Source organism: Homo sapiens, chromosome 14, assembly GCF_000001405.40.
Source record: "Homo sapiens chromosome 14, GRCh38.p14 Primary Assembly".
In the NCBI taxonomy this organism is placed as follows: Eukaryota; Metazoa; Chordata; class Mammalia; order Primates; family Hominidae; genus Homo; species Homo sapiens.
Genome location: NC_000014.9, coordinates 94,842,460 through 94,869,015, shown reverse-complemented (window position 1 = coordinate 94,869,015; position 26,556 = coordinate 94,842,460). Strand labels below are relative to the sequence as shown.

Genomic DNA, 26,556 nt, shown 5'->3' with positions numbered 1-26,556 from the left:
TGGAGTCAAATGACTAAAGTGCAAACCCCATCTTTGCTGCTAGTGACAGTGCCTCTGTGTCATCATCAGTTACATGAAAATAACAAAAGCCCTGCCACAGAGCGCTGCTGTGAGGATTCACTGAGTTAATATATGTGAAGTGCTTAGAGCAGTGCCTGACGCAGTCTCAATCCTCAGTAGGTACTTGCTTTGATTTTTATCATGATTCAAACCATTATTGAAAGAAAGACTGGGTTCTCCTGGAGTTTCTTTCAAAGTTGAGAATCTACGCTTTGATGAGTCTATGGGATGCTTGTAATGTGCCCAACAGATGGGACAGGGTGACTCAGCAGGGGAGAGCGAATTATTAAGTAGAGTAATTTTCTCTCATTTGTCATTCCAGAAACCCGAGTGAGGTGGTCACTTCTGCAAGTGGCCTGGAGTGCACGGCCAAAGGGAGGCAGATGGGGCAAAATGGGGAGAGGCAGGGGGTGCTGTCCTGACTTCAGCAGGTGTGTGCACCTGACTCGAAGCCACCCCACCCCCGGTCCTGCCCTCTCCCACCCGCTTCCATTGGCCGGGGCAGCACCTCTGAGGTCCTGGAGAAAGGCCTCATCCCCCGTTGCCAGGGGCATCCAGAGTGTCTCGCAGTCATATGGGAGTGATTTGGGACTCTGGGCTGTGGGGTTCTTAAGGCAGGAGCAGGCTAAGATTTCCATAAACACAAGCACCAAGCCATTTATGGGTTTTACTAGAAATTTTATTGGCATTTGGTTGTGTTGGCATTGTGTGTGCCTTCAAATGTAAATTAGATTACTGGCAGTAGATTCAATTTAGCGGTAAAAATGTAAGGGGAGTCGAGTTAGGCTGAGGATGAAACAATGCGATGACTGTTCTTGGGTCGACAAAGGGTGAGATCACCAAGCAAGAGCGCTGTGTGGAGCGGGGAGTGACGTGGAGGATGGGGAAAGCGCGCTGGATCACCCCTCCCCTACAACTTGGAAGTCGGAGGAACTTTGTCAGAGCAGCCACCTGAGTTTTCTGTTCCCCCAGTAGGTGCAAGGTCAATGCTGTATTTTGCCTCTATAAACATGAAACACACACCATACAGATTTTTGAGGAAATGTAGTCATTGCAAATTTGAAAAGAAAGCTTCCAGAGACCAAAAAGTTTTGGCTGACACAGGGCACTACTAATAGCTGACATTTACTGGGCACTCGCTGTGTACCATGCCCTGTGCCAGGCGATCTTCAACAACAATCTCTGAGGGAGGTGCTACTAATAGTTCCATTTCACAGATGCAGAAACGGAGGCAGAGAGAGTGGAAGTGACCTGCCCAAGACTACCCAGCTAGTAAGTGACAGAGCAAGGACTCCTGGGCATCTAACCATTGCATTTTAATTCTCACAATAAATTCAGTGTACAAAGTACCTGTGTCCTTTTTATACAGGTTTGCATTTGTGTGTGTTCACACATGGCTGAGTGTGTATGTATGTGCATGTGCAAGTCGGCTTACAGGTAGGTGTATCTTAGAATGTATGAGTGTGCACAGGCAGGTGTGTGTGCATGCATGAGTGTGGCTGCATGTGGGTAGGCGTGTGGGTGTGTGTAGGTAGGTGTGCGCCCACAGGTCTGTGTGTGTGTGAGAGTACATGCACATGGGTGTGTGTGGAGGGGGGAGGTGTGTGCTCACGTGAGTATGTGTGTGCATGCAGGTAGTATTGTTGAAGTCAGTGTGTGTGCGTGTGCATGGGTAATTTTGTGTTAGTGTGCGCATGTGAGTAGGAGAGTGTGCACCTGTGAATGTGTGTGGGGGCATATGTATGCATGAGTGCAACGTAGGGTGATGGTGGTGATGATGGTGCCAGACTGGGGATTTGGGAGAGGGATGCTGCAGAACCTTTGCTACAGGCAGGCAGCCCCTGATGCCTCCTGCTAGAGCCAGGATTTCTTACTCTGAGGATATAGATCTGCATCTCTGCTTAGCAACCTGGGCCTCAGTTAGAAAACTGGGGAAGGAGTCATTTCCAAAGTCCCTTGAACTCCAAGATGCCGGATTGTATAATAAAACCAGAGCCAGGGAAAGTGGAGAGCATTTCCCTCTTCCTCCTGCACCTGCCCACTCCGGGTGCCCTGCTCCTCCTCATCAGTAGGGACACTCTGCAGTCCACATTTCACCTATCTTCATAATGACCCTGAAACGTGGGTGTCATCACCAATTCCCTTGAAGAAGATGCTGAGACAGAGTGAGGCAGTGATGTACGCAAGTTCACACAGGACTGCAAAGCCTCAGTTGCAGAAGCCTGAGCCGTGAGGCTGTCTGAGAAGTCGTGTGGCCATGAGAATGACGACTTCCTGAAGGCAGGCCCTGGCTCTGTCATTTCTTTTCTTTTCTTTTCTTTTCTTTTGAGATGGAATCTCGGTCTGCTGCCAGGTTGGAGTGCAGTGACATATCTCGGCTCACTGCAACCTCTGACTCCCGGGTTCAAGGGATTCTCCTGCCTCAGCCTCCCGAGTAGCTGAGATTACAGGCACACGTCACCACGCCCAGCTAGTTTTTTTGCATTTTTAGTAGAGACAGGGTTTGACCATGTTGGCCAGGATGGTCTTGAACTCTTGACCTCTTGATCCGCCCGCCTGGGCCTCCCAAACTGCTGGGATTACAGGTGTGAGCCACCGCGCCCAGCCAGCTCTGTCTTTTTCAGCAGCATCTCCCCAGTGCTGAACAAACAGCAGCTAGATTATTTGGGTTGTAGCTCACCCTAAGGTGCTAGAGAATCTGTAAGTGGCTGCATATAATCCATGGAAGTTTCCAAAGATGTAGGGGAACAGTGCCTTAAGTGCAAATTCTCTCTAATGATGAACTTCAGGCCCATGGGAGTAGTGCCTGCTGGCAGAAATCCTTGCCAGCACCTTCGAACGCCCTCCCTGATGGGGCCTTCCCTCCAGATGTGAAAGGCGACTGCCCTACTGATGAGATGGTTGTGTCCAAAGGAGGTCTGAGGTCAGACTGTTGGTCTGCAGCACACCTAGAAATCGCAGCTCTGTGACAAATGGTCGCATGACCCTCAGCGAGTCATTTTCCCACTGAGGGCCCAAACAAACTTTCTTGTACCATGGAGGCTTGGATAAATGGACTTTTCTCAATGACATGTGAGATGAAGCTAAGAGGGAAACAGCAGTGTGCAAACCCTAGGCTGGGCATGGTGGCTCACGCTTGTAATCCCAGCACTTTGGGAGGCCGAGGTGGGTGGATCACCTGAAGTCAGGAGTTTGAGACCAGCCTGGCCAACATGGTGAAACTTCCTCTCTACTAAAAATACACAAATCAGCTGGGTGTGGTGGCACACGCCTGTAATCCCAGCTACTTGGGAGGCTGAGACAGGAGAATCGCTTGAACCCAGGAGGCAGAGGTTGCAGTGAGTGGAGATTGCGCCCTTGCATTTCAGCCTGGGCAACAGAAGCGAAACTTTGTCTCAAAAAAGAAAAAAAAAAAAAGATATAGGGATGAGTAAATTCTATTTGGGAAGAAAACATTTACATAACATTTATAAACTTCCACTATATGTATACGGCAATAAAAGAGAAGCCTCAAATGTTAAACATGATTATTTCCGGGTGGTGGGACTATGTGCTTTTTACTTTTTTCCTTATCTACGTATTATCTTAATTTTCCACCATAAACATGCAGTACTCTTGAAATGGGCAAAACTGATCAGTGTTTGCTTATGTTATTTGAGAAGTTGAGCACCGAGAGATTTATTCATCTCAGCTTTGACATTCTGCTGTTCTCCCTCCTGACCTGCTTTGAGAGCGGATGGGGGTGGGGTGGGGGTAACTCCCTGTGGAAATCGGGGGTGGCTGTTAAATAGCTTGATCTCTTTTATGGGGTTCCCGCACACACCTCGGCTTTCTCCATGGCGCCTGGCATTCGCAGGGCACCTGCCGCCACAGACCTTCTGACCAGCCTTACAAACCTCATGACTTGACACGCTCCAGCCACCGGCCCCAGGCCCCGGGCTCCGGGACTGGGGAGGCAGCCCGGCCCCCCCACCGGGCCCTCCACCTGAAAGAGATTAGCCAGGACCACCAGAAGCCTGCAATACTAATCGGAGGGATTTTCTTACTTGTTTCCTTCAACGAGTTCCTCCAGGTGTTTCTAGTGATTAGCCAGGGCCCGGACGGCTGGTCACTGTGCCACCATTGTGTCCCCGGCCCTGTTTCCCCACCACGTGGCCTTTGGGGACGACCCCAAATAAAAACGGCGAGAGCAGACTGCCAAGTGGCGGGACCATTTACGGGAGGGACGCGGGAGGACACGGAGCGCGCCCAGAGGGCTTTACAGCTCCACCTCGCGCCCCGACCGACGGGACTCGCGGGCTCCCAGGCGTCTCACTGGCCTCCTTTATGGGGTGGTGACACCTCGGTGACGCAGGCCTGGCTTTGGGATGCATTGTTTTCTGTTGGTGGGGTTGGTTTTTGCTTTCCTGCCCGGATGGCCTCAGCTAAATCCCCGCTGATTGCCACCGCCCGGTGGATGAGATGGTCTGCTACACAGGCAGCTGGCCACCGCCCCGGCAGATAGAGCAGGGAGCTTTTCCCCACAGCTTGGGTTTCTCTGTTGCCTCTTCCCTTGGTGTGGATTACGCTGTTTTTCTCATAAACATGCCCTCCCCTCCACCCCACCGCTGAGGAAGGCTTTTTCTGAGCAAAGGAAGAGACCAAGAAAACCTTAAGCAGAAATGAGGGTGGGTGTGTGGGTGGAAGGTCCAGTCTAGTTAGCCCCTCTGCCCTGGAATTTGGACTTTTCTTTTTCTTTCTTTCTTTCTTTTCTTTTCTTTTTTCTTTTCTTTTTTTTTTTTTTTTTTTTTTTTTTTTGAGACAGCGTCTCACTCTGTCACCCAGGCTGGAGTGCAGTATTGCAATCATGGCTCACTGCAACCTCTGCCTCCCAGGTTCAAGTGATCCTCCTACCTCAGCATCCATTTTCTAACTCTACAGTTTTAAGAAGGTTTAAGAATTAGAAAATAAAGAAAGGGAGGAAGGAAAAAGACAAACTGCGGGGAAGAGGGACACCCGGAGCTGTTCAGTGACCCCCCCAACCCATAGCCCTCCCCTTCTTACCAGAGCTGGATGGAACTTGGGGAGTCCATAAGTCCTGGAAGGCTTGTAGGCAGGCTTTGGGCGGCCAAGACAAGCTCAGAGCACCATGAAGATTTTTTCTGAACAGTATCCACTGTTCCCTTCAGATCCTCAGAGGCTCATAGGACTCCACTAGGGTTCAGAATCACTGATCTAGTTCATCCCCATTTGATATATGGGGAAACTGAGGCAACTCTCCAAAAGTTACATGGTGGATAAGTGGCAGAGCCAGCACCACACATTTTGAAGTCAGGTTAGAACATGACTGGGGGTTGGCACCAAGCTGGAGGCCATGCCCTGCTCGACGAAAAATAAATAAATAAATAAATAAATAAATAAATAAATAAATAAGAGCAGCTGCTACACATCAGGCGCTGCTTAGAGCATTTTACATATAATTATTCTTTGATTCTCAAATCAGCCCTATGAGATAGTTTCATAGTATTATCCCCATTTTACAGATGAGAAAACCGGAACCTAGTGGAACTAGTGACTTGTCCAATGTCACAGAGCCAGGCAGCGCAGAGACTGTTTTCAACCCCATCGTAGGCACTCAAGTGAGCAAGGCTGGGATAAGAAGAATCTGTATGGACTTTGGAGAGTCAAAATCTGGTTTTGCTATTTACTCAGCAACATCTCTTCCCTTCTCTGACACTCGGTTTTCTCATCTGGAAAAAAGAGGTGGTGTTATTTCTTCTTCTTTTTGTGTTTTTTTTTTAATTTTCTTTATTTTTGTTTGTTTGTTTGTTTTTGGAGACAGAGTTATACTCTGTTGCCTAGGCTGGAGTGTAGTGACACGATCTTGGCTCACTGCAACCTTGAACTCCTGAGCTCAAGCCATCCTCCTGCCTCAGCCTCTGGAGTAGTTGGGACTACAGGCGCACGCCACTAGGCCTAGCTAATTTTTTGTATTTTTAGTAGAGACAGGGTTTCAGCCATATTGGCCAGGCTGCTCTTGAACTCCTGGCCTCAAGTAATCCACCCACCTCAGCCTCCCAAAGTGCTGAGATTATAGGCGTGAGCCACTGCACCCAGCCAAGCCACCATGTCCGTCTTTACTTCTTCAGTTTATTGGAAGGATCAAGAGAAATAAAGTAGAGAAAGCCCCTCTCCTGGTGCCTGGCACATGGGAGGTTCTTAAAAATAACTCTTCAGCTGAATTAAAATCAAAGCAGTCCAGGCATGGTGGCTCAAGCCTGTAATCCCAACACTTTGGGAGGCCTAGGGGGGTGGATCACTTGAGGTCAGGAGTTCGGCCAACGTGGTGAAACCCCATCTCTACTAAAAATACAAAATTAGCCAGGCATGGTGGCATATGCCTGTCATCCCAGTTACTTGGGAGGCTGAGGCAGGACAATCACTTGAACTTGGGAGGTGGAGGTTGCAGTGAGCCGAGGTTGCAGTGAGCCAAGATCACACCACTGAACTCCAGTCTGGCAACAGAGTGAGACCCTGTTTCAAAAAATAAATGAAATGAAATGAAAGCAAAGCACTGCCATGATTTCCAGAGCTGGAGCTGTGCCCAGGATGAGTTAGGTCAGGCATTGAGGAAGACAGAGAGAGGTGACCGGGGAGGTTAAAGGGCAGGGGTTACTCTCTTATCCCAGATCCCAGAGGTCTTTGAGCCAAGATACAGTAGGATTTAATCACATCTCTGCAAAGACACCTCCCTGTGGTCCATGATTTGCATAGTCCCATCCGCAGGCTGACACCGCTTCCTAGATCCTTATTGGAGCTGTCATTCAAGCAGGAGTCTGTGTTGTGGCACCTTAGTGGCTATCTCCTGCACCCTCAGTTTGAGGAGCACCTGATCCCCAGAGTGAAAGAGCCTGTTTTTGTTGGTGGTGTCCCTCTCCCCCAGGCCACCCTCCCTCTTACCAACCCACAGATGCCAGCCTGTTAGTGGTCTGGATCCCTCAAAGAAACCTAGAATAAAGAAATAACAAGCTAGGTAAGATGCAAACATCTGGCCCTAGCACAACAACCTTATTCTGTAGGCACAGGGGACTGCAGACAGCTCTTTTCAGATCTAAAGTGAGGGCAGCTCAAAGGTTTAAACAGTTGGTCTTTGGTTCTGCTTAAAGCAGTTAAGGTAGGACCAGGCTGGTTCTTCTGGAAGTCCCAGTGCCCAGCAAATGTTCAAACCCCATTGCTTGATATTCAAGCTGTGTCAGCCCCCACCCTACACTGTTCCATCCTACAGCCCCAGGAAATGGAGCTGTTCTTGACAGTCCCTATTTATAGACCAGACTGTTCCACATCCAGCCAGGTGTCCTTCCTTCACATACTTGAAGGTCTAAATCCAAACTGTCCTTCAAGATGCTCACACATGCCCTCTCGCTCAAGAGCCATCCTTGCAACCTGTGACCTCACCTCTTTGTGATGCTCTCATGACGTTGACCATTTCTCCCTCAGTGTTAGTGACTTCCCACCTCCCCTAGCCTGAGCATTCCTCAAGGGTTGGACCATGGATTTGTAAGCTCTCAGGAGTTCAGAGGCCTCTGTCTCTAAATTCACCTGGGCAGACCCCTGCTCAGGGCAGGGATTGCTTCCACACTAACCAGCCATATGCCTGTCCTCCCTGTCTATAATTTTCCAGGGACAGAGGCCCTCACCCACTTCCTGGGTCTCAAGGCAGGCCATTCCAGGCTGCACATTCCTGCTAGACTGCATTAGTTATCCCCTTTCACAGACGAGGACACTGAAGCTCAGAGAGGCTCTGTAGCTTTCCTGAAACCACACAGCAGGTAAGTGACGAGAATGGAATTTGAGCCCAGGTGGCCCAGCTCTTACATACTCCACTGTCTCAACTAAGATCAGCACTGGAACAGCCACATCTCAGAAAGTTCTTCTGAAGATTCAGTGGAAATCTATTGTCTACCTATCTGGTTTCTTTTATTCAAGATCCCTGAAGAATAAATTTGATCCAGAGTTAATTGTATCTCCTGCCACAAAACTTAGCACAAAGTAGGGGCACAATACTTTGTCTTGAGGAGATGAATCATTTATTCACAAAAGTTAAGTTTTTATTGCACCTTAAGGTCAGTGTAGTGATTCTGCATGCATTAATTACCATGAGCCTCCCAATGATCTAGGAGAAAGACAGGGCGGGGGCTGAGATCAGGGGGGAGGTGAAGTGCACTCCAGAGGCACCAGAGACACAAAGAAAAAGAAGACACAGGTCGGGTGCTGTGGCTCACACCTGTAATCTCAGCACTTTGGGAGGCTAAGGAGGGTGGCTTGCTTGAGCCCAGGAGTTCGAGACCAGCCTGGCAAAATGTCTCTATAAAAACATACAAAAATTAGCTGGTTGTGGTGGTCCCATAGTCCCAACTACTCCAGAATGTGAAATGGGAGGATGGCCTGAGCTCAGGAGTTCGAGGTTGCAGTGAGCCATGATTGCACCACTATACTCCAGCCTGGTGACAGGGCAAGACCCTGTCTCAAACAAGAAAGAAAGAAAGAAAGAAAGAAAGAAAGAAAGAAAGAAAACCAAACCACAGTAGAAATAGCAGTGCCATGAGGTGTTAATAACAAGAATTGCCTCAGTAAAATAATAGCTAATGAATACTGAGTGCTTGCTTTATTCCAGCACTAGGCTAGCTAGCACCTTGCATTCATAGACAAATTTAATTTTTGCCATGAGCCTATGAGGTTGGTTCAATGATCATCTGTTTTACAGATAAGGCAACAGAGGCACAGAGAGTGTCATGTCCTTGCCTGGATTCATCCAGCCAGAAGTGGAAAGACTGGAAAGTGAACCCAGGCAACCAGCGATGTACCCTACTGTGTCCTCTCTACACGGGCACTATACGTGTCTCCATTTTACCTGTGGGGAAGCCCAGGGTCAGAGAGAGAAAGTCATGAGCTCAAGTTCCAGCCAAGGGCCAGATGAGGAGTTAGTTCTATCCTTCATAAGTTATGTGGCTTTGAGCAAGGCGTAAGAACTCTCAACACGACTGGTGCTCACCGCCCTGTCCTTGGAAGCAGGATAGCGGGGCATGTCAAAGGCTTCCCAGGAGAATGGAGTGTCCAGAATGGATGGCACGACTCCTCCGAGGCGGCCCCAAGTCTGGCCAGACCCCTTGCTGTGCTGCATGGAGGACTCTAAGTTTCGGTCAGCAGCCCTGTCTCTGCCCTTGGACACAGCACAGGAAGCTGGAGGCTGCTTCAAAGGGAGGAAGAATGAGCATTTCGTAGCCAGTGGACACCAAACCAGGCCTTTCCTCTGGTGTTTCGGTGTATCTTATTCATTTATCATTTATTCATTGAAGATGAGGTCTTGCTCTGTTACCCAGGCTGGAGTACAGTGGTGTAATCACAGTTCACTGCAGACTCAAAACTCCTCTGCTCAAGTGATCCTCCTGCCTCAGCCTCCTGAGTAGCTAGGACTACAGGTGTGTTGCCACCACCTCAGCTGATATTTTAATTTTATTTTGGAGAGACGAGGTCTCCCTATGTTGCCCAAGCTGGTCTCGAACTCCTAGTCTCAAGCAATCCTCCTGCCTCGGCTTCCCAAAGTGCTAGGGTTACAGGCATAAGCCTCTGCGCCCAGCTATTTCAGTGTATTTTAGTTATTCAGTGTCATTCCCAAGACTAAGTCCCTGCCCCGACTCCACTTCACCCCCTGCACCTGGCCAGGTAGGTGTGATCACTCTGCTTAGAGGTGAGAACACTCAGCTCATGGAATTAAAGTGACTTCTTCAAAGTCCCACAGCAGGGAAGAACCAGAGAAACAGAACCTGGCATCTGATCCTGAAGCCCACCTCTCCCAGAATCTTTTAGATACAGGACAAAAGGAAATCAAAATAGAAGGAAAACAGAAATCCTGGAAAATCAAAAGCAAAATAAAACAAATGAGCCTGACCATGTATCCAGTTGGTGGCACAAGTACACACAACAGAATGATTTCAAGGAGAAGCACAGTGATGTGACTGAATATCCCCAGTGGAATGAAACCTGAAAACAAAAAGAACTGAAAAAAAGTTTAAACTGTTTTCAGTAGTCCTATCATCAAGTAATAATCATCTCTGTCTTGTTATTCCAAGATATTATGTATGCATTTTTAGGGATATGGCAAGTAGGTCATTCTTTTTTTTTTTTCTTAAATAAAAAAACGTTTTTTTTAGACATGGTCTTGCTCTGTCAGGTTGGAGTGCCATGGTGTGACTACAGCTCACTGCAGCCTTGAATTCCTGAGCTCAAGCAATCCTTCTGCCTCAGCCTCCCAAGTAGCTAGGACTCACAGGCACACCACCATGCCCAGTTAAGTAATTATCTTTCGAACAAGCAACTGTCAGTCCTTTGGAAATAGTGACCTCCTGCTGTGAGGGCTGTATCTATTTTAAGGCCCCAAGGTGAAAGTTAGGGCTCTGTTTTCACACATCCAGTAAGATGCATGATCTGACTCGTGTTCATCTATGATGGTCTAGGAGAGAGCCCTAGGCAGGCAGGAGTTGACGTAGAGCTATCCCCCGTCCCTTCCTTCCCTGAGCTCCTCCAAAAGGAGGGTATGCCTAGCAGAAAAGAGATGGGAAATAGCCTGAGCATGCAGGGGAAGGACTTATGGTTGGTGGTGGTTATCGGGAGCATGTAGTCAGGGATGATCTGGCTCCAGAGAAGCCACATGCATAGCGTCCAGCATAGCACTTGATCCCTGGCTGCAACTGCTGGGCGCTAGCAGGGCTTCCTGGCTGCCTTCACCAGCATCTCTGGGCTCTTCTCCCAGCCTTTTAGGTAATGCTCCCTTGTTAATAGGATCATAATATTAGGACTGGAGAGGAACAAATATTACTTTGTGCACCAGCCAACTGAGACTACATCAGGCTGCATTTAATTTGGGAACTGTGTAGCTAGCTAATTTTTCTATAGTAGATGCCACGTGTACTCCGTGACTTCCCTGAGTGCCTCAGCAAAATGTGTGACCCAACCTTGGCCTTGAGTCCACCCGGGCCTCAGTAGGGACATGAGAAGTTCAACCCCTGGAGGCCCTCCTGCTAGCTACGTGCTCTGTAGGGGTCCCTGTCCTGGTTTCTAGGCTGGGAACATGCAGGGGGCAGTACAGGATGGTGTTCATACCCATGGGCTCTGAGCCCGATTCCTTGGGTTCAAATCCCAATTCTGCCTTTTACAAATTTGGGTTTTGGATTGGCTTAGTAATAATAACAATAACAATAATCCAGTTAAATAAATTGCTATATGCAAAATGCTTGAAACAGTTCCCAGCATTTAAGAAGCATCTCTATATATTTATTTACTGTTATTTTTATTATTTTTTAGTACAGCAGAAGTAAAAATGAAATGGAAGAGATGCACCTGAGACAAAATTTGAGGGCCTTGGGGACTGACTGTATCTTGGGGTTACAACTGGCTGTGCATGAGGTTGGGGGTTGCTCAGAGGTAGAGAAAACCTTGGGGGAGAGTCAAGTTTGGAGGTCAGGGTGAGGCTGGGCTGTTTTGCATACACTCAGTTTAAGATGCCTGACACGGTCCCATCAGAATGGAGATGCCAGTAGGGTGCAGTGGCTCATGCCTGTAATCCCAACACTTTGGGAGGCCAAGGCAGGAGGATCGCTTGAGTCCAGGAGTTTGAGACCAGCCTGAGCAACATAGCAAGGCCCCATCTCAATCAATCGATCAATCAATCAATCAATAAGAATGGCGACACTGAGTAGACAGGTGGTCAGATTTATTCGGAGGTAAGAGTCTAAGAGTTGGGCTCCCTTGCTGTCCTGGGGAAACCAATGGCCCACAAGCTGCCTCTCTTATGTTTACAGCTGATTTAGCTTGAGACTTGCATGTATATACTGTTCTTACCACCTAGCATGGTTGTGTTTGATTTACATGAAAATATCTAGCCCCTCACCACTCCCACTCTGGCCCAACAATCTTTTGGGAAGTCATGCTCTGTTCCCCAGGGAAACCCGGACCTGCTCCCCAGGGCCATTTGTGCTTCACTTGGAGGTGCAGGAAGCATCTTGAAACTCACATATCCTTGAGAGGAATGGTTCATGGTCCCCCATGCAGAGATGAAGGAACTGAGGTTCCAAGACGACAATGACTCACTTAGAGTCACTGCTGGCACAAGGCGGAGCAGGGCCATGGCAAGTTCTTTCTGCAGCAGAACACTTGCTCTTTCCATCTTAATGTCAACCTCAAATCAACTAGAAAGGTGTAGGCTTGTTCCATTCAGTTTGCTCTCCAGGAAGAGCCAAGTAAGAGACGCTCTTCTGCATCTGTGTGTGAAAGAAATCCAAGTTCCTGGAAGACAAGAGTTCCTTGGTTGTTCAGAGCAGCAATCTTTACAAGAGCAAGGCCCTAACAGCTCCCCAAAGCCAAACACAGGTCCGGGGTGGAGCTGCAGAATGTGCTCGGGATGGAATATGATGCAACCTGGAAAATGAGTGAATGCAAAACACAAATGGGTTTTAGCAGTATACTATGAAATTTTAAAAGAGATAATATTGAGTAAAATAAAACAGCCCCAAAGATTGCATACGGTATAATACCCTTTGAATACATTTACATGTAAGTAAAGTAAATAAATATATTTTATGGGAATTCATATAGGCAATAAAACTATATTAAATGGAAAGCAAGGTAATGTTGAATGCAAGACTGGGGGTGGGGTTGTGGGAAAGACCATATTGTTAAATGGCATGTATTGTTGAGATCTTAACTGTGCCTTGGGTGGTATTGGCAGGTGCTTATTATGTTATTAAAAATAACTAATAGGTCAGGCACAGTGGCTCACATCTGTAATCCCAGCATTTTGGGAGGCCGAGGTGGGCAGATCACTTGAGGCCAAGAGTTCAAGACCAGCTTGGCCAACATGGTGAAAACCCATCTCCACTAAAAACACAAAAATTAGCTGGGCTTGGTGGCACACGACTGTAATCCCAACTACTTGGGAGGCTAAGACACAAGAATTGCTTGAACCCTGGAGGTGGAGGTTGCAGTGAGCTGAGATCACGCCACTGCATTCCAGCCTGGATGAAAGAGCAAGACACTGTCTTAAAACAAAACAAAACAAAAAAACCCAAAAAACAGAAAAACAAAAACAAATAGAATAACCAAATAAACAAAAGCATGAAGAGGCAGAGAAGTTGGGAAACTGGACCTTGAACGTGAACTGGGTCTGTAGGCAGAGGGACAGAATGGCCAGAGTAATGCAGCCAAGTGGGGAAGCTCCCCCTAGGTAACGTGAAGAGAGGGGGCCTGCAGAGGCTTCTGCACAGGTGGAAATGGGATGGTGGCTCTGGTGGGTAAGGCCACTGATCCCAGGACTGGTCCCATTCCAGTGATTCTGATGCAGGAGAGCTTTGAGGAAGGTGGTGTCTAAGTGAAGCTGGGGTCCTGGGATTTTCGTTGGCATGGACAGGACACAGAGGGACAATGAGCCCACCTGGAGCTTGGAGGAGCCCCTTCATGACCTGGGCACCCCCATGAGTGGTGATTCCTCTCAGGGAGCTCAGCTTGTGCCCACCTCATTTTTCTGCCAGGGTGCCTTCTTTGGGGAGGTGAGTGTCGCTTTTGCTCAGTGTCAAGTCTGTCTATGGCTTTGGGGACAGCATCATGATATGTTCTCGAGAAACAGTCCTCCACCTGTCTGACTCAATGTCACCTTCTAACAACTAGTGTCATCTCCCCTCTATTATCCTAAAATATTTTGTAGCCTCTCCTTTATGATTCTGAAATAAAAATCCCTAGTCTTATAGCACTACACACATAAGTTAACTACATACAAAATCTTAGAAATCATTAGAATGCCCTACCTGTTAGAGAAAGAAGAAATAGAAAAGGATTTATAATAAAAATGGTGTGCATTTCAGTAAGTAAATGCTTGGGCTTGACTACACTGGAAGACACAGTGAGGCAGGGGAGGGCTTGCATCTACTGGGCAAACTGCTGTTAATGTGAGAGCCAGTGTGGGCTGGCAACTCACACAGAAAAAGCCTTGGTGCCCAGATAGGTGCTTTTCTGAAAGGTGGATGATTTTTTTTTACTAAAGTTTCATTGATTTTTATGGTAGTTTAATTCCATAGTTTAACTCCAGAAAAGTTTAGTGTATATCACAAACTTGTAGAAAAGACTACATTTATACATAAAACAGAGTAAAGCTCTGGGTCGGGATTTCCCAGCACTATTGACATTTGGGGCAGGACCATTTTTTTGTGATGGGGGCTGTCCTACGCATTGTAGGGTATTTAGCAGTATTCCTGGCCTCTACCCACCAGATGCCAGGAGCACCCCCTCCCACAGTGTGACAAACAAAATTGTCTCAAAGAAAAGCTGAATGTTCCCTAGGAGGCAAAATCACCCTCAGCACAGGCCTCTAAGTTTGGTTAATTGCATAATGGTTTTTACTTCAATGAATGCCTAGTTGGGCAATCCTTTGTTCTCTGGGACTGTCCCATGCCTCAGGGGCACCTATTCCACCCAAGAAATGACATTTATCCTCCCTCCTCAATTATTGTAACAACCAACCCCACCCACAGAAATCCAAAATTCATGTCCCCCTGGGGAGATGGTTAGCACTCCTAGGATGAACCACTGATTACAGCAACAACATGCAGGTGGGGTGTGGGGGCCTCTGGCCTCAAAGAGCAGGGTCCAGCTTTCAGTTTCCCATCTGGGCAAGAACAGCCAGGATTGATTCTTGGTATACGCAGAAGTTCACCTGAAGATTGTTGGAGGTGTTTCAGTTATTTATTGTGGAATACTCAATGAAAGCTCAGTGGTTTAAATAGCCATTTATTAGCTGTGCTCAGCAGGGTGGTTCTTCTGCTCCACATGGCCTCTTCTAGGGCTGGAAACATCAAGATGGCATCTTCACTCCTGTGTCTGGCTCCTCGGTTGTGTGGCTGGACCAGCTGGGGTTACCTGGGCATCTATCTCTCTCTCACATGGCCAGCATGGACCACAGCATCATGGTCTCAAAGTAGCTGAACCTATACACGTGGCTGCTTCTAAGTGGGAGAAGGAAATTGTCAGTCCTCTAAAGGCTGGTCCTGGGTCTGGTGCACAGTCATTTCTGCTGAGTTCTGTTGGCCAAAGCAAGTCGAAAGGCCATATCCAATTCAACTGGAGGGGAAATTGCTGTGAGGAGCAGCATGCCCTCTCAGGGAAGGGGAACTGATGGTGGCCATCTTTGGAGATAACCACAGGGACCCTGGACTTTTACCACTGTGGGCATGTGGACGCCCAGGTTCTGCCATTGGCTAGGCTGGTGCCTGTATGTGATATATGCTAGAAACATTTCCATTAACAAGCATGTTTTTGAAAAAGGTGCTGCTAACCACCAACTTTCATCAAGCATTTCCTCTGTGCTGCACCCTGTTTAAATTGCTTTATATGTTTTTTTTTTCTCACTTAACTGCTTCCATTTCCTTGGACATGTATACTACTACTATCCTCATTTTATAGGTGAAGAAACTGAGACACAAGATTACTCACTCCACTAATCCCTCTTCCAGGCATTGATTCTAAGGAACAATTAAGACAGTTTTCATATGTTCATTGCAACGTTATTTACAACAGGAGACTGGTGAAATAAATGATGATATATCTACAATGGTAGAAAAATACTGATATGCAATGAACTTCTCAATACAATAAGTTAAAAATTAGTTATAAAGCAATGCCTATAATATCCTCCCATTTTGGACAAAAATATATACAAGTTTCTAAAAGCAGTTTTCTCTAGGATGGGATTATGTGTAGGAGTATTTTATCATTCTGTTAATTTGTGTTTTCTTCTTCTCTGTCTACAATGAATATATATTGCACTTGAAGGAAGAGAAAAACAAGGCAAGTTGTCACTTTAAATTCTTTTTTAAAAAGTTTTCTACTTAAATGAGAGAGCTTCAGGCAACTAGAAAAGATAATGAATCAGATGGACTGTCCATTTGGAGAGATGGACCCCACCCTTGGCCTCATTGATGAAATGCAAGTACTCTTAGCTAAGCAAATGCTCGTGTGGCTAAGCAAAGTCCAGCTGGGCACTGAGGTGGGGGTTCTCCATGATGTCCGGCTGCTATGCTGCTTTGACAAGGGACCACAGCTGTGCCCATCTGGCCAGTTTCACATGCTGGGTGCTGGACTGCAGCTCCGGGAAGTGTGGATGGTCTGCAGGGATCTCTGTATGCTGGAGGGTGGGCAGGGTCTCCACTTGGCCCTTGCAACAACTGTGTTTCTTAACCTACTGTTCCATGCTCCACCACAGACCACACCAAACAGCAGCCTCTTTGGAGCCTGTTCCATCAGGGAACTTCCCAACTTCTTTTTTTTTTTTTTAAATTTTTTATTTGCTTTCCACCTGTTTCTTTATTTATTTGAGTCAGAGTCTCTCTCTGTTGCCCAGGCTGGAGTGCAGTGGTACGATCTCGGCTCACTGAAGCCTCCACCTCCTGGGTTCAAGTGATTCTCCCACCTCAGCTTCCCTCCTGACTAGCTGGAACTAAAGGCACATGCCACCATGCCCAGCTAATTTTGGCATTTTTAGTAGAGACTGGGTTTCACCATGCTGGCCAAGCTGGTCTCAAACTCCTGACCTCAGGTGATCTGCTTGCCTCGGCCTCCCAAAGTGCTGGGATTACAGGCAGGAGCCTCCACGCCTGGCCCACCTTTATAATATCTTACTTTCCTAAGATTCAATCTTGACTTCTTTCTCTCTCTCCATCTCGCTTTGTCTGTCTTGTAGGCAGAAGTCTCAGGGAGCCCCTCAAATTCCTGGCCCCTGGTGGACATAGGCTTTCTCTCAGCTCTTCAATCAAACACAAACCTAGGTGTTACTGTGAAGGAATCTTGCAGATGTAATTAAAGTCCCAAGTCAGCTGCCTTAAGGTTAAGAGATATCCTGGTGGGCCTGGCCTCATCAGATGAGTCCTTAAAATCTGGGTCAGAAGGCCTGGCTCAGTGGCTCACACCCAGCACTGTGGGAGGCTGAGTGGAGCGGATCACTTAAGCCCAATAGTTCAAGACCAGCCTGGGCAACATGGTGAAACCCCGTCTCTACTAAAAATACAAAAAATTAGCCAGGCGTGGTGGCACGCACCTTTAGTCCCAGCTACTTGGGAGGCTGAGGTGAGAGGATTGCTTGAGCACTGGAGGTGAAGTTTGCAGTGAGCTCTGATCACACCACTCCACTCCAGCCTGGGCGACAGAGTAAGACCCTGTCTCAAAAAAAAAAAAAAAAAAAAAAAAAAAAGGCTGGGTGCAGTGGCTCACGCCTGTAATCCCAGCATGTTGGTTAGGAGGCCAAAGTGAGTGGATCACCTGAGGTTAGGAGTTTGAGACCAGGCTGACCAACATGGTGAAACCCTGTCTCTGCTAAAAATACAATAATTAGCTGGGTGTGGCGGAGGCAGCCTGTAGTCCCAGCTACTTGGGAGGCTGAAGCGTGTTGGCAAAATTCTACCCAGAGGGGCCTCGCCCTGCAGCACACTCAAGCAGAGAGTCATGTCCTCAGACAGAGCTGTGTTCCCAGATATCTATATTGATATCTTGAATTGTTTGAACCGGGGAGGCGGAGGTTGCAGTGAGCCGAGATCGTGCCATTGCCCTCCATCCAGCCTGGACAACAAGAGCGAAACTCCATCTCAAAAAAAAAAAAAAAAAAAAATCTGGGTCAGGAGATCAGAGACAGAGAAGGCAGAGATTTGGAGTGTGGGGGCTGAACTGCGTGGGGGGGATTCAATGTATGAGAGGCTCTCCAGTTTTGGGTTAAAGGGGCGGGGGGTGGCCTGTGGCAAGGTGTGGTGGCCTCTGGGAGCTGAGAGTGGTCCCCACCTCTCCCATCCAACAGCCAGCAACCTGAATGAGTTTGGAGGAGCTCCAGATGAGACACAGCCCCAGTCAGCACCTGGGCTGCAGCTGCGGGAGACCTTTGGCAGGGACCCAGCAGGTCTGGGCCTTGACTCCTGACCCGCAGGAACATGGAGGTAATGAACTTATATCAAGTTGCTAAATGCATGGTGACTTGTTATGCAGCCAGAGAAAATGAATACACTTTCCTCCCTCCCTTCCTTCCTCCCTCCACTCCTTCCTTTCTTTTTTAAAACCTATCATGGACGTCTTTCCCTGTTATTACAGACTCTGCAGAAATAAACCTCGGGATAGATTTCCCTCACGTTCTCTGTAAAATGCGTGTTGGCGAAATTCCACCCAGAGAGGCCTCGCCCTGGAGCACACCCAAGCCGGGAGGCACGTCCTCAGCCAGAGCTGTGTTCCCAGATAACTATAAAACATATCGTTCTCCTGAAGGGCAGGTTTTGCCACGTTAATTTCCTTTCATGGAAGGGGTAGCTTCCTACTGAAAATCAAAGAGAAAATCTCCCAAGGAAAGAAATCTGAGTTGCGACATACCCAGAAAGGACCACTCCTGGGTCCCTGGGAGTTTCCATCTTATTTAAAATTTTTATTTATTTATTTTGAGACAGGGTTCACTCTGTCGCCCAGGCTAGAATACAGTGGCTTAATAGTGGCTCACTATAGCCTTGATCTCCCAAGCTTAGGTGATCCTCCCACTTCAGCCTCCAGCCTGAGTAGCTGGGACTACAGGCGTGTGCCACCACACCTGGCTGATTTTCTTTTCCTTAGTAGAGACAAGGTCTCATTATGTTGTCCAGGCTGGTCTCGAACTCCTGAGCTCAAGTGATCCTCTTGCCTCAGCCTCACAAAGTGCTGGGATTACAGGTGCGAGCCATATCACCCCGCTGCCTCCATTCTTTTACTTAGAACCAGGTTCCTCAACATTCTCTTTTCTTTCCCTGCTGCGTGTTATCTTACGTCTCTGCTAGTTATAAGCTCTGTGGAGCAGGGCACATATCTTGGGAAGCTTTCTGCCCCCTGGGCCGGGCATGCAGCGACTCACATTTATTGACTGAATTAAGCAGAGCTAGTCAGCAGCCATATGGGATATGGAGGCCATGTCCAAAATGCCATCCGTCTTTACTCCAGGCCTGTTTTCATCTGAGTGCCAGGTAGTAAAGAGGGAAAATTTTGGAGACAAACAAGCGTGATTTGATTCCCAGTCTTGAAACTTACTGGCTGACCGTTCCCGTGCAAACTTCTCCCAGGCTCAAAAGGCCCACCTTTAAAATGGGCTACCAGAAAGTTAACGCATATAAAATCCACTGGTGCACAGTAGGCCTTCAGTGTCTGTTCAATGTCTTCCCTTTCTTTCTGTTTTTTGATGTCATTTCATTTTTCCCCTCAAAAAAAAAAAAAGCCAACAGGTTTTTGGCCTGTAGAGCAAGACCCTTCTAGAAAGAATTCACGTTAGATCCATATTAACAAGCTTTGGCATTAGCCCTGGTCGCTGTGTGAGTGTTTTCAGGCTGTGGAAATTCACTGACAATCACTTAGGACCAGATTCTGGCCTGCGCAGAGACCAGGCTGCTGCAAGGGGGGGGATTTTGAGGAGGTGGCTGGGGGGAGCGAGGTGGAAATGGTTTGAGAATGGGTCCCGGAGGCAGGAATGTCACTTTGCTCGGCAGTTGTCACAAACTCCAGGTGTCTGAGTGAGCATCCTGTGTTTCTGGGGCACACCAGCCTGGTAAATCGGGGTGAGCTTCTAACCTCCATTGTAGTCCAGACATTGAGCTAAAGCCCCCAGGAGGAGTCTAGGCCGGTGAAAAGGACCTATCAGATGAGCTGGGAGGAGGGGCGACAGGGCCCTGGGAAGGAGACTCGAGCGTGATGCTCCGAAGTTCCCTGGACTCAGGGAGGTCCTCAGCAAAATGAGGAAACCAGTGATGTGATTTCTACAGACTAACAGGAACCGAAGAGGCCTGCTGGAGTTTCAGCTTCATGGGATCTCACTCATCTCCCTCCCCAGCACCTGGGCGGGCTGTTGAATGAATGAGTGATGAAGGGAGGGAAGAGACAAACCCTCTCATCTCATTGGTGAGGAAACAGATCCATACGAATAGGGTGACTTGCCTAAGGTCAGGTCTCAGAAACTCCTTTCCACTCAGGCATCAACAACTGAGAACAGGTCGAAATAGGCCCGCTCCTGGGGTTTTCCCTTTAAACATTACATGTGCCTGTGGAGAGGGATTTTGCTCTTTTACAAATGGAGTTCAAGGCCTTCACAGATGAGGGAGGGTCTCAGGTCTGTCTGGCACTCTGTTACCCTGTTTGTAGATGGCAGCTGACTTTGTGTAAAAAACTGACAGCACCCGCCGCCCCTTTGCCAGCCTGATCTGGCTCCAGAGCTACATGATGCCTGATAGGATGGCTTGGACAAGATGCCATGAAAATTCTTCTTGGCTTCATTTTACATCCTGGTGTCAGCCGTCTCTCCTGGACTACTGCAATAGTCCAGCCAGGCCACTCTCCTGCTCCATTTTCTCTAATCCATTTACAAATGGGAATGTGCTCATTTGTAAATGGGAATGAGGGCCCTGTTCCCTCTATTTGCCTGTACTTAGAAACCATTCAGTGGCCTGGATTTAGAAGAAAAGGAAAACTGCTCACTGCCCTCTGCTCCAAGCCCACCTATGACCACGGTCACCCTATTCGTCTTCTCATCCATTACAAGCTCCAAGCACTCTCCTATCTCAAGGACATGCTGTGCCCTTTGTCGAGAATATGTTTCCCCCAATCATCCCGTTCTCATTCTCATCCTCCAAGTCTTAGTTTAAACACCTTTAGAGAGGTCTCTTCAGAGAGGCATTCCTGCCCACTCCTCTGAACTAGATCCACCCACCCTGGGCGGGCACTCTCACAGGGGTCTATCTGTGTCCTTTATGGTATGTCGCACAGTTTGGTAATTATATATTATCTTGTTTGTCTATTGTCTATTATGTTGCTCCACTGCCACGCAATAAGCTCCATGAGGAAAGGGGCTATGTATGTCTTGTCTACCACTGTGCTTCTCATTATGCCTGGCACATAGGAGGTGGGCATTACATATGTTGAATAAAAAAATGAATGAATGTAGGGATGAGTGCATGACTTAAGTCCCTGGTGGCAGACTTTATGCAGATGATAGCTAAAGAGACTGCCCTTTTTCGTAATATGCCTAACAAGAATTGGATTTAAAGTGATCTTAGGGGCCAGGTGCGGTGGCTCACGCCTGTAATCCCGATACTTTGGGAAGCCGAGGAGGGCAGATCACTTGAGGTCAGGAGTTCAAGACCAGCCTGGCCAACATGGTGAAACCCCGTCTCTACTAAAAAGACAAAAACTAGACAGGCATGCACCTGTAATCCCAGCTACTTTGGAGGCTGAGGCACGAGAATGGCTTGAACCCAGGAGGCGGAGCTTGCAGTGAGCCGAGATTATACCACTGCACTCCAGCCTGGGCGACAGAGCAAGACTACATCTCAAAAAATAATAATAATAATTTAAAAAGTGATCTTAGGCAGAAATCAGGAGTAAATATGTGAATAAAAGTAACTAGCTGGCTGTGGTGGCTCACGCCTGTAATCCCAGCGCTCTGGGAGGCCAAGTCGGGCAGATCATGAGGTCAGGAGTTAAAGACCAGCCTGGCCAACATGTTGAAACCCCTTCTCTACTAAAACTACAAAAATTAGCTGAGTGCCATGGCAGGCACCTGTAAACCCACCTACTCGGGAGGCTGAGGGAGGAGAATTGCTTGAACCCAGGAAGTGGAGGTTGCAGTGAGCTGAGATCATGCCACTGCACTCCAGCCCGGGTGACAGAGCAAGATTCCGTCTCTGGGGGTGGAAAGAAAAAGTAACCGAGCCAGAGCAGTCCAGTGTGGAATGAAAATGCAGACTGTGGAGGATGAAACATCTAGATAGGGCGAGGTCCCCAGACAGCCCCTTGGTCACTTCTGGCTAAGAGCACTCACGGGTGCCTTGGTGAAGAGGAAACTAGAAATCCGTGTAGCAGCCCCGGTGGCCCCTGTGCGGTATGGAATCTTGCTAGACGGCTCCCTAACAGTGTGTAGGACCCTTTTGTAGTACAGGTGTCTGCCATTCTCGGTGAACCATGTTGTCGTCTTCACCAAATGAGGTTTAAAAAGCCCTCTGGGGACAGCAGGCAGGGAAGGGGACTGGTGACCCTACCTCTCCCTGATCCAGGCTGTGATTGTAGGGCCTACTATCATATGCTGCTGGTGGGAATGTGCTGTGTTGCAATTTTTCTGGAAGGAAATTTGGCAAGATATATTAAAAGCCTTAAATATAGGCAAGTCCTTTGACTTGATAACTCCACTTTAAAGAAGCTAAACCCCACTGGGGGGTTATTTATTTTCCTATTATAATCTCATTCCTACTTCGCAGTTGTTACCTGGATTAGTTTACATCATATACATCTGTACTTCCTTTGCTCAAAAGATAGAAAAGTTTCACAATGTTTTTATTTTATTTTATTTTATTTATTTTTTTGAGACAGGGGCTCATTCTGTCACCTAGGCTGGAGTGCCATGGCACAATTATAGCTCACTGCAGCCTCAACCTCCTGGGCTCAAGTGATCCTCCCACCTCAGCCTCCTAAGGTAATTTGAATTTAAAAAAACACACAAAATACAAAACTAAGTGTCTGGTAGGAATCCTCTTGTGCCAAAGAAACATTCAGACACAATTACTAGAACATTTCCTCAAATAATTAATGGGGATTACCTATATCTGATGAGATTATAAATTAATTTTATCATTACTTTCCAAATTTTCTACCATAAGCATGTGCTGCATTTATAATTATAATAAAACAATAAGCAATTTTTAGTCCCAAGAGAAAAAAAATCCTGTTGCTCTGAGGCCACATGTGAGATAAACTACTCCCCCATTACAGAATTCGTCTTAGCAAAAATGTGCCCATTTGCTTTGGCTCTAGCCAGAATTGGCCAAATGTGCCCAAAGGCACATCTAGCTGCAAGGGAGGCTGAAATATAGAAGGTCCAGCTGGGTAGCAAGAGCCCGGCTAATAGGGTGTTCACTGTGAGTGTGGGTGGACAGATGCGTGAGTTTGTGGTATGTACATAGGGATGCATATACATATTCACTTATTCATTTTATTTTATTTTATTTCATTTATTTATTTATTTTTAAAAATTGAGACCGGTCTCACTATGTTGCCAGGGCTGGTCTCGAACTCCTGGACTCAAGTGATTCTCCCACCTCGACCTCCCAAAGTGCTAGGATTACAGGATTGAGCCACTGTGCCAAGCCTATGTATTTATTTGAGATAGGGTCTCACTATGCTACCAAGGCTGGTCTCTAACTACTGGGTTCAAGTGATCCTCCCACCTCAGTCTCAAGAGTAGTTGGGAACACATGTGTGTGCCACTGTGCCTGGCGCAGCTGTATGGTTTATAATGATGGAAGAAAAAAAAAGGAGAGAACGGATATTGGAGTGTAATTAGCCATTTGAACAAAGTAAGGAAAACAGGCAGCCAGTGGGCACAGAACACACAGCTGTCTTTTCTGAGCCAGTATAAAATGCGCTAATTCATCTATATGGGACAGTCCTCAAAGATTCCAGCACAGCCAGCCCTGAGCCAGCAGGCCTGTCTCCTCTGCTCACAACCACAGCGGGACTCATGGTAGTCAACCCTCAGGAAGCCCTTCCCCAGGGCCATTCAAAATGGGCATCTTGAATTCAGAGATCTTGGCATTTTTCTCACAGCCACAGAGCTTGGAAATTTTCTCTTACTAATTCTTCCCCGACACTGTGTGTACTTGTCTAATGGTTTTCCATTTGACACATGTTTATGAAGCGGCTGTTCTATGTTGGATACACCATCACACATTATGCCCCTGACTCCCCACGGTCACTCAGGAGCAATGTATTACTGTCCCCATTTTACCTATGAGGAAACAGAGGCCAGGTAGCAAGAGGCAGAGCTGGGACCTGAAGCCAGATTTCTCAGCTACAATGCTGGCGAGCTTTCCAGCACACCACAGCCGCCTTTTGCTTCAAAGCCTGGAAAAGTTGATGAGCCCTGAAACCTTCTGTGAAAGCCCTGCAGAAATGAACTGCCAAGCCTGCTCGACAGAAATAGTTGTGGTCCTCAGCTTCCTGGAACGAAAACACTCTTTCCCGAGTGGGGACCAGCCCATTAGCCCATCCTTTATTTCATGCAAGGCGACTCCCCACCACCCATAAATCATTTTCCAGGCCTTTCCGCTGGGCAACTCTACTTCAGAGATGCAATGTCCCATGCAGGGTGACGGTTTAGCCTTCTGGACTCCATCAGTCGGGCAAAACAAAACCAGAAATGTCATGTGGAGCTGCAAACCTAAAATATATTACAACTGAGACCCAAACACACAACCCAGAGAGGAGAGGAGGCAAAGACACAGCCTCCAAGTGAAATTTTAAAGTTTCCAGGCCTTGCAAATGAATAAAATAGTGCTACTACCTGCCACGGCCGTCCATGAGGTTTCTTGCTGTGGGAACAGGTTCACAACAATATTTTTTTCTTTTAATTTTTGATCAAATTCTGCATGGGGCATAAAATAGGTTCCCAGAAGGTTCAAGCTGAAAGTTTACCTGGCTCTGTTACCGGACTCCATGTTGGTGAGAGAGGGCATCTAAGCTCGACCCTTGGCTGCTCTGAGAAGCAATACCCTGAAGAAGGGACATCCGATTTGATCAAACACAGCATCTCTTGGTCCCAGGAACAGACACTAAAATAACAGAAAGGAGCAGAAGAGGACAATGATTTGCCATTTATTCAGGGCCTGCCACGAGCTGTGCACAGTGCTAGGCACTTCACATATACTGTCGTATTCACGTGTCGGTAAGTAATGATATTTTTATCTTACAGAGAGGAACCTGAGGGTTGGCAAAGTCAGAGGCCGAGCTCACCTCATACAGAAGGGATAGAATGTGAATTTTAAGCTGGTTTGTAATAAAACATGATATGGTTTGGCTGTGTCCCCACCCACATCTCATCTTGAATTGTAGTTCCCACAATCCCCATGTGTTGTGGAAGGCACCCAGTGAGAGGTAATTGAATCGTGGGGGCGGTTACCCCCTGCTGCTGTTCTCGTGTAAGTGAGTGAGTTCTCAGGAGATCTGGTGGTTCTATAAGGGGCTTTTCCCCCTTTCTCTGGCACTTCTCCTTCATACCACTATGTGAAGAAGGATGTGTTTGCTTTTCCTTCTGCCATGATTGTAAGTTTCCTGAGGCCTCCCCAGCCACGCTGAACTGTGAGTCGATTAAACCTCTTTCCTTTATAAATTACCCAGTCTTGGGTATGTCTTTATTAGCAGCATGAAAATAGACTAATAGAAAACACTGGTATCCATTAGTGAAGGGCTTGCATATGCCAGGCTATGGCCTAAGCCTTCCTAGGGATTAGCTCATGTATTCCCCTCATCAAGACTGTGAGATGGACACGATCATTATATGCATCTTACAAGTGGAAAACGCAAGGCCCAGCAGAGAGAGATGCAGCATCTTGCCCCAGGTCAAATGGGGTAACTTGCAAGCCAGGGCTTGAACACAGCCAGTCTGCCCCAGACCTCGTACCTTGACCACTACACAGCCCTCTGTTTGTGTGATGCTGCATTAGGGAGGTGAGGTTCTGTAGAAGCCATATGGCTCTTGAGACCTGAGAGGATCCTTCAGTGACCCTTCCCCTAACCTCTGTTATACTGGTTGACTAACTCAGGTATGGATGGGAAAGCAACTGATCCAGGTCTCTAGGCTGTTCAGCTGTACCACTAGGATTTGCCCCAGGACCAAATTCTGGGGCTCTTTCTACTACCCTATGCCATCTCTTTATTCCTGAGCTGGCTGCCATTTAATCATCAATAATCAAGAGAAATAGAATGCGAGCCACAAGTGCAAGTCATCTATGTAATTTAAATATTTTTACTGGCCACATTCTTAAAAAGTAAAAAGGAACAGGTGAAATGAACATAAATGATATATTTTAAACCCTATACGTCCGAAATGTTACCATTGTAACATATAATCAATGTAGCAATTATTAAGGAGATATTTTATCTTCGTGGGGTACTAAGTCTTTGAAATCTGGCATGTATTTCACACTTACAGCACATCTCAGATTGGATGTGACATTTCAACAACCCAGTGGCTGCATGTGGCCAGTGTCTTCATTATTGGACAGGATAGACTTCAGCCCTGTTATTCAAAGTGTGATCCATGGGCGAGCAGCATCAGCATCACCTGAGAACGCGTGAGAAATGCAGCATCTCAGGCTCCACCAAAGACCTCCTGAATCAGAATCTGCATTTTATTTTATTTTGTTATTTATTTATTTGTTTGTTTTGAGACGGAGTCTCGCTGTGTCACCCAGGCTGGAGTGCAGTGGCGCGATCTCTGTTCACTGCAACTGCCTCCAGGGTTCAAGCAATTCTTCTGCCTTAGCCTCCCAAATAGCTGAGACTACAGGCAACTGCCACTAGACCCAGCTAATTTTTGTATCTTTAGTAGAGACAGGGTTTCACCATGTTGGCCGGGCTGGTTTCGAACTCCTGACCTCAGGT

General features: G+C 47.3%; 2 long non-coding RNA genes across 2 annotated transcripts; both read right to left on the bottom strand.

Annotated features, from left to right (window-relative positions):
* Positions 1–721: 721 nt before the first annotated feature.
* Positions 722–4,256, bottom strand: LOC124903369 (uncharacterized). Its single transcript, XR_007064317.1, has 2 exons — positions 4,107–4,256; positions 722–1,062 (listed from the first exon to the last, which is right to left on the bottom strand). It is a non-coding gene; the product is annotated as an uncharacterized LOC124903369 (long non-coding RNA).
* Positions 4,257–12,165: 7,909 nt separating this feature from the next.
* LOC107984693 (uncharacterized) lies at positions 12,166–26,213 on the bottom strand. Its single transcript, XR_001750862.1, has 3 exons — positions 26,103–26,213; positions 24,589–24,725; positions 12,166–12,513 (listed from the first exon to the last, which is right to left on the bottom strand). It is a non-coding gene; the product is annotated as an uncharacterized LOC107984693 (long non-coding RNA).
* Between the last annotated feature and the right edge of the window lie 343 nt (positions 26,214–26,556).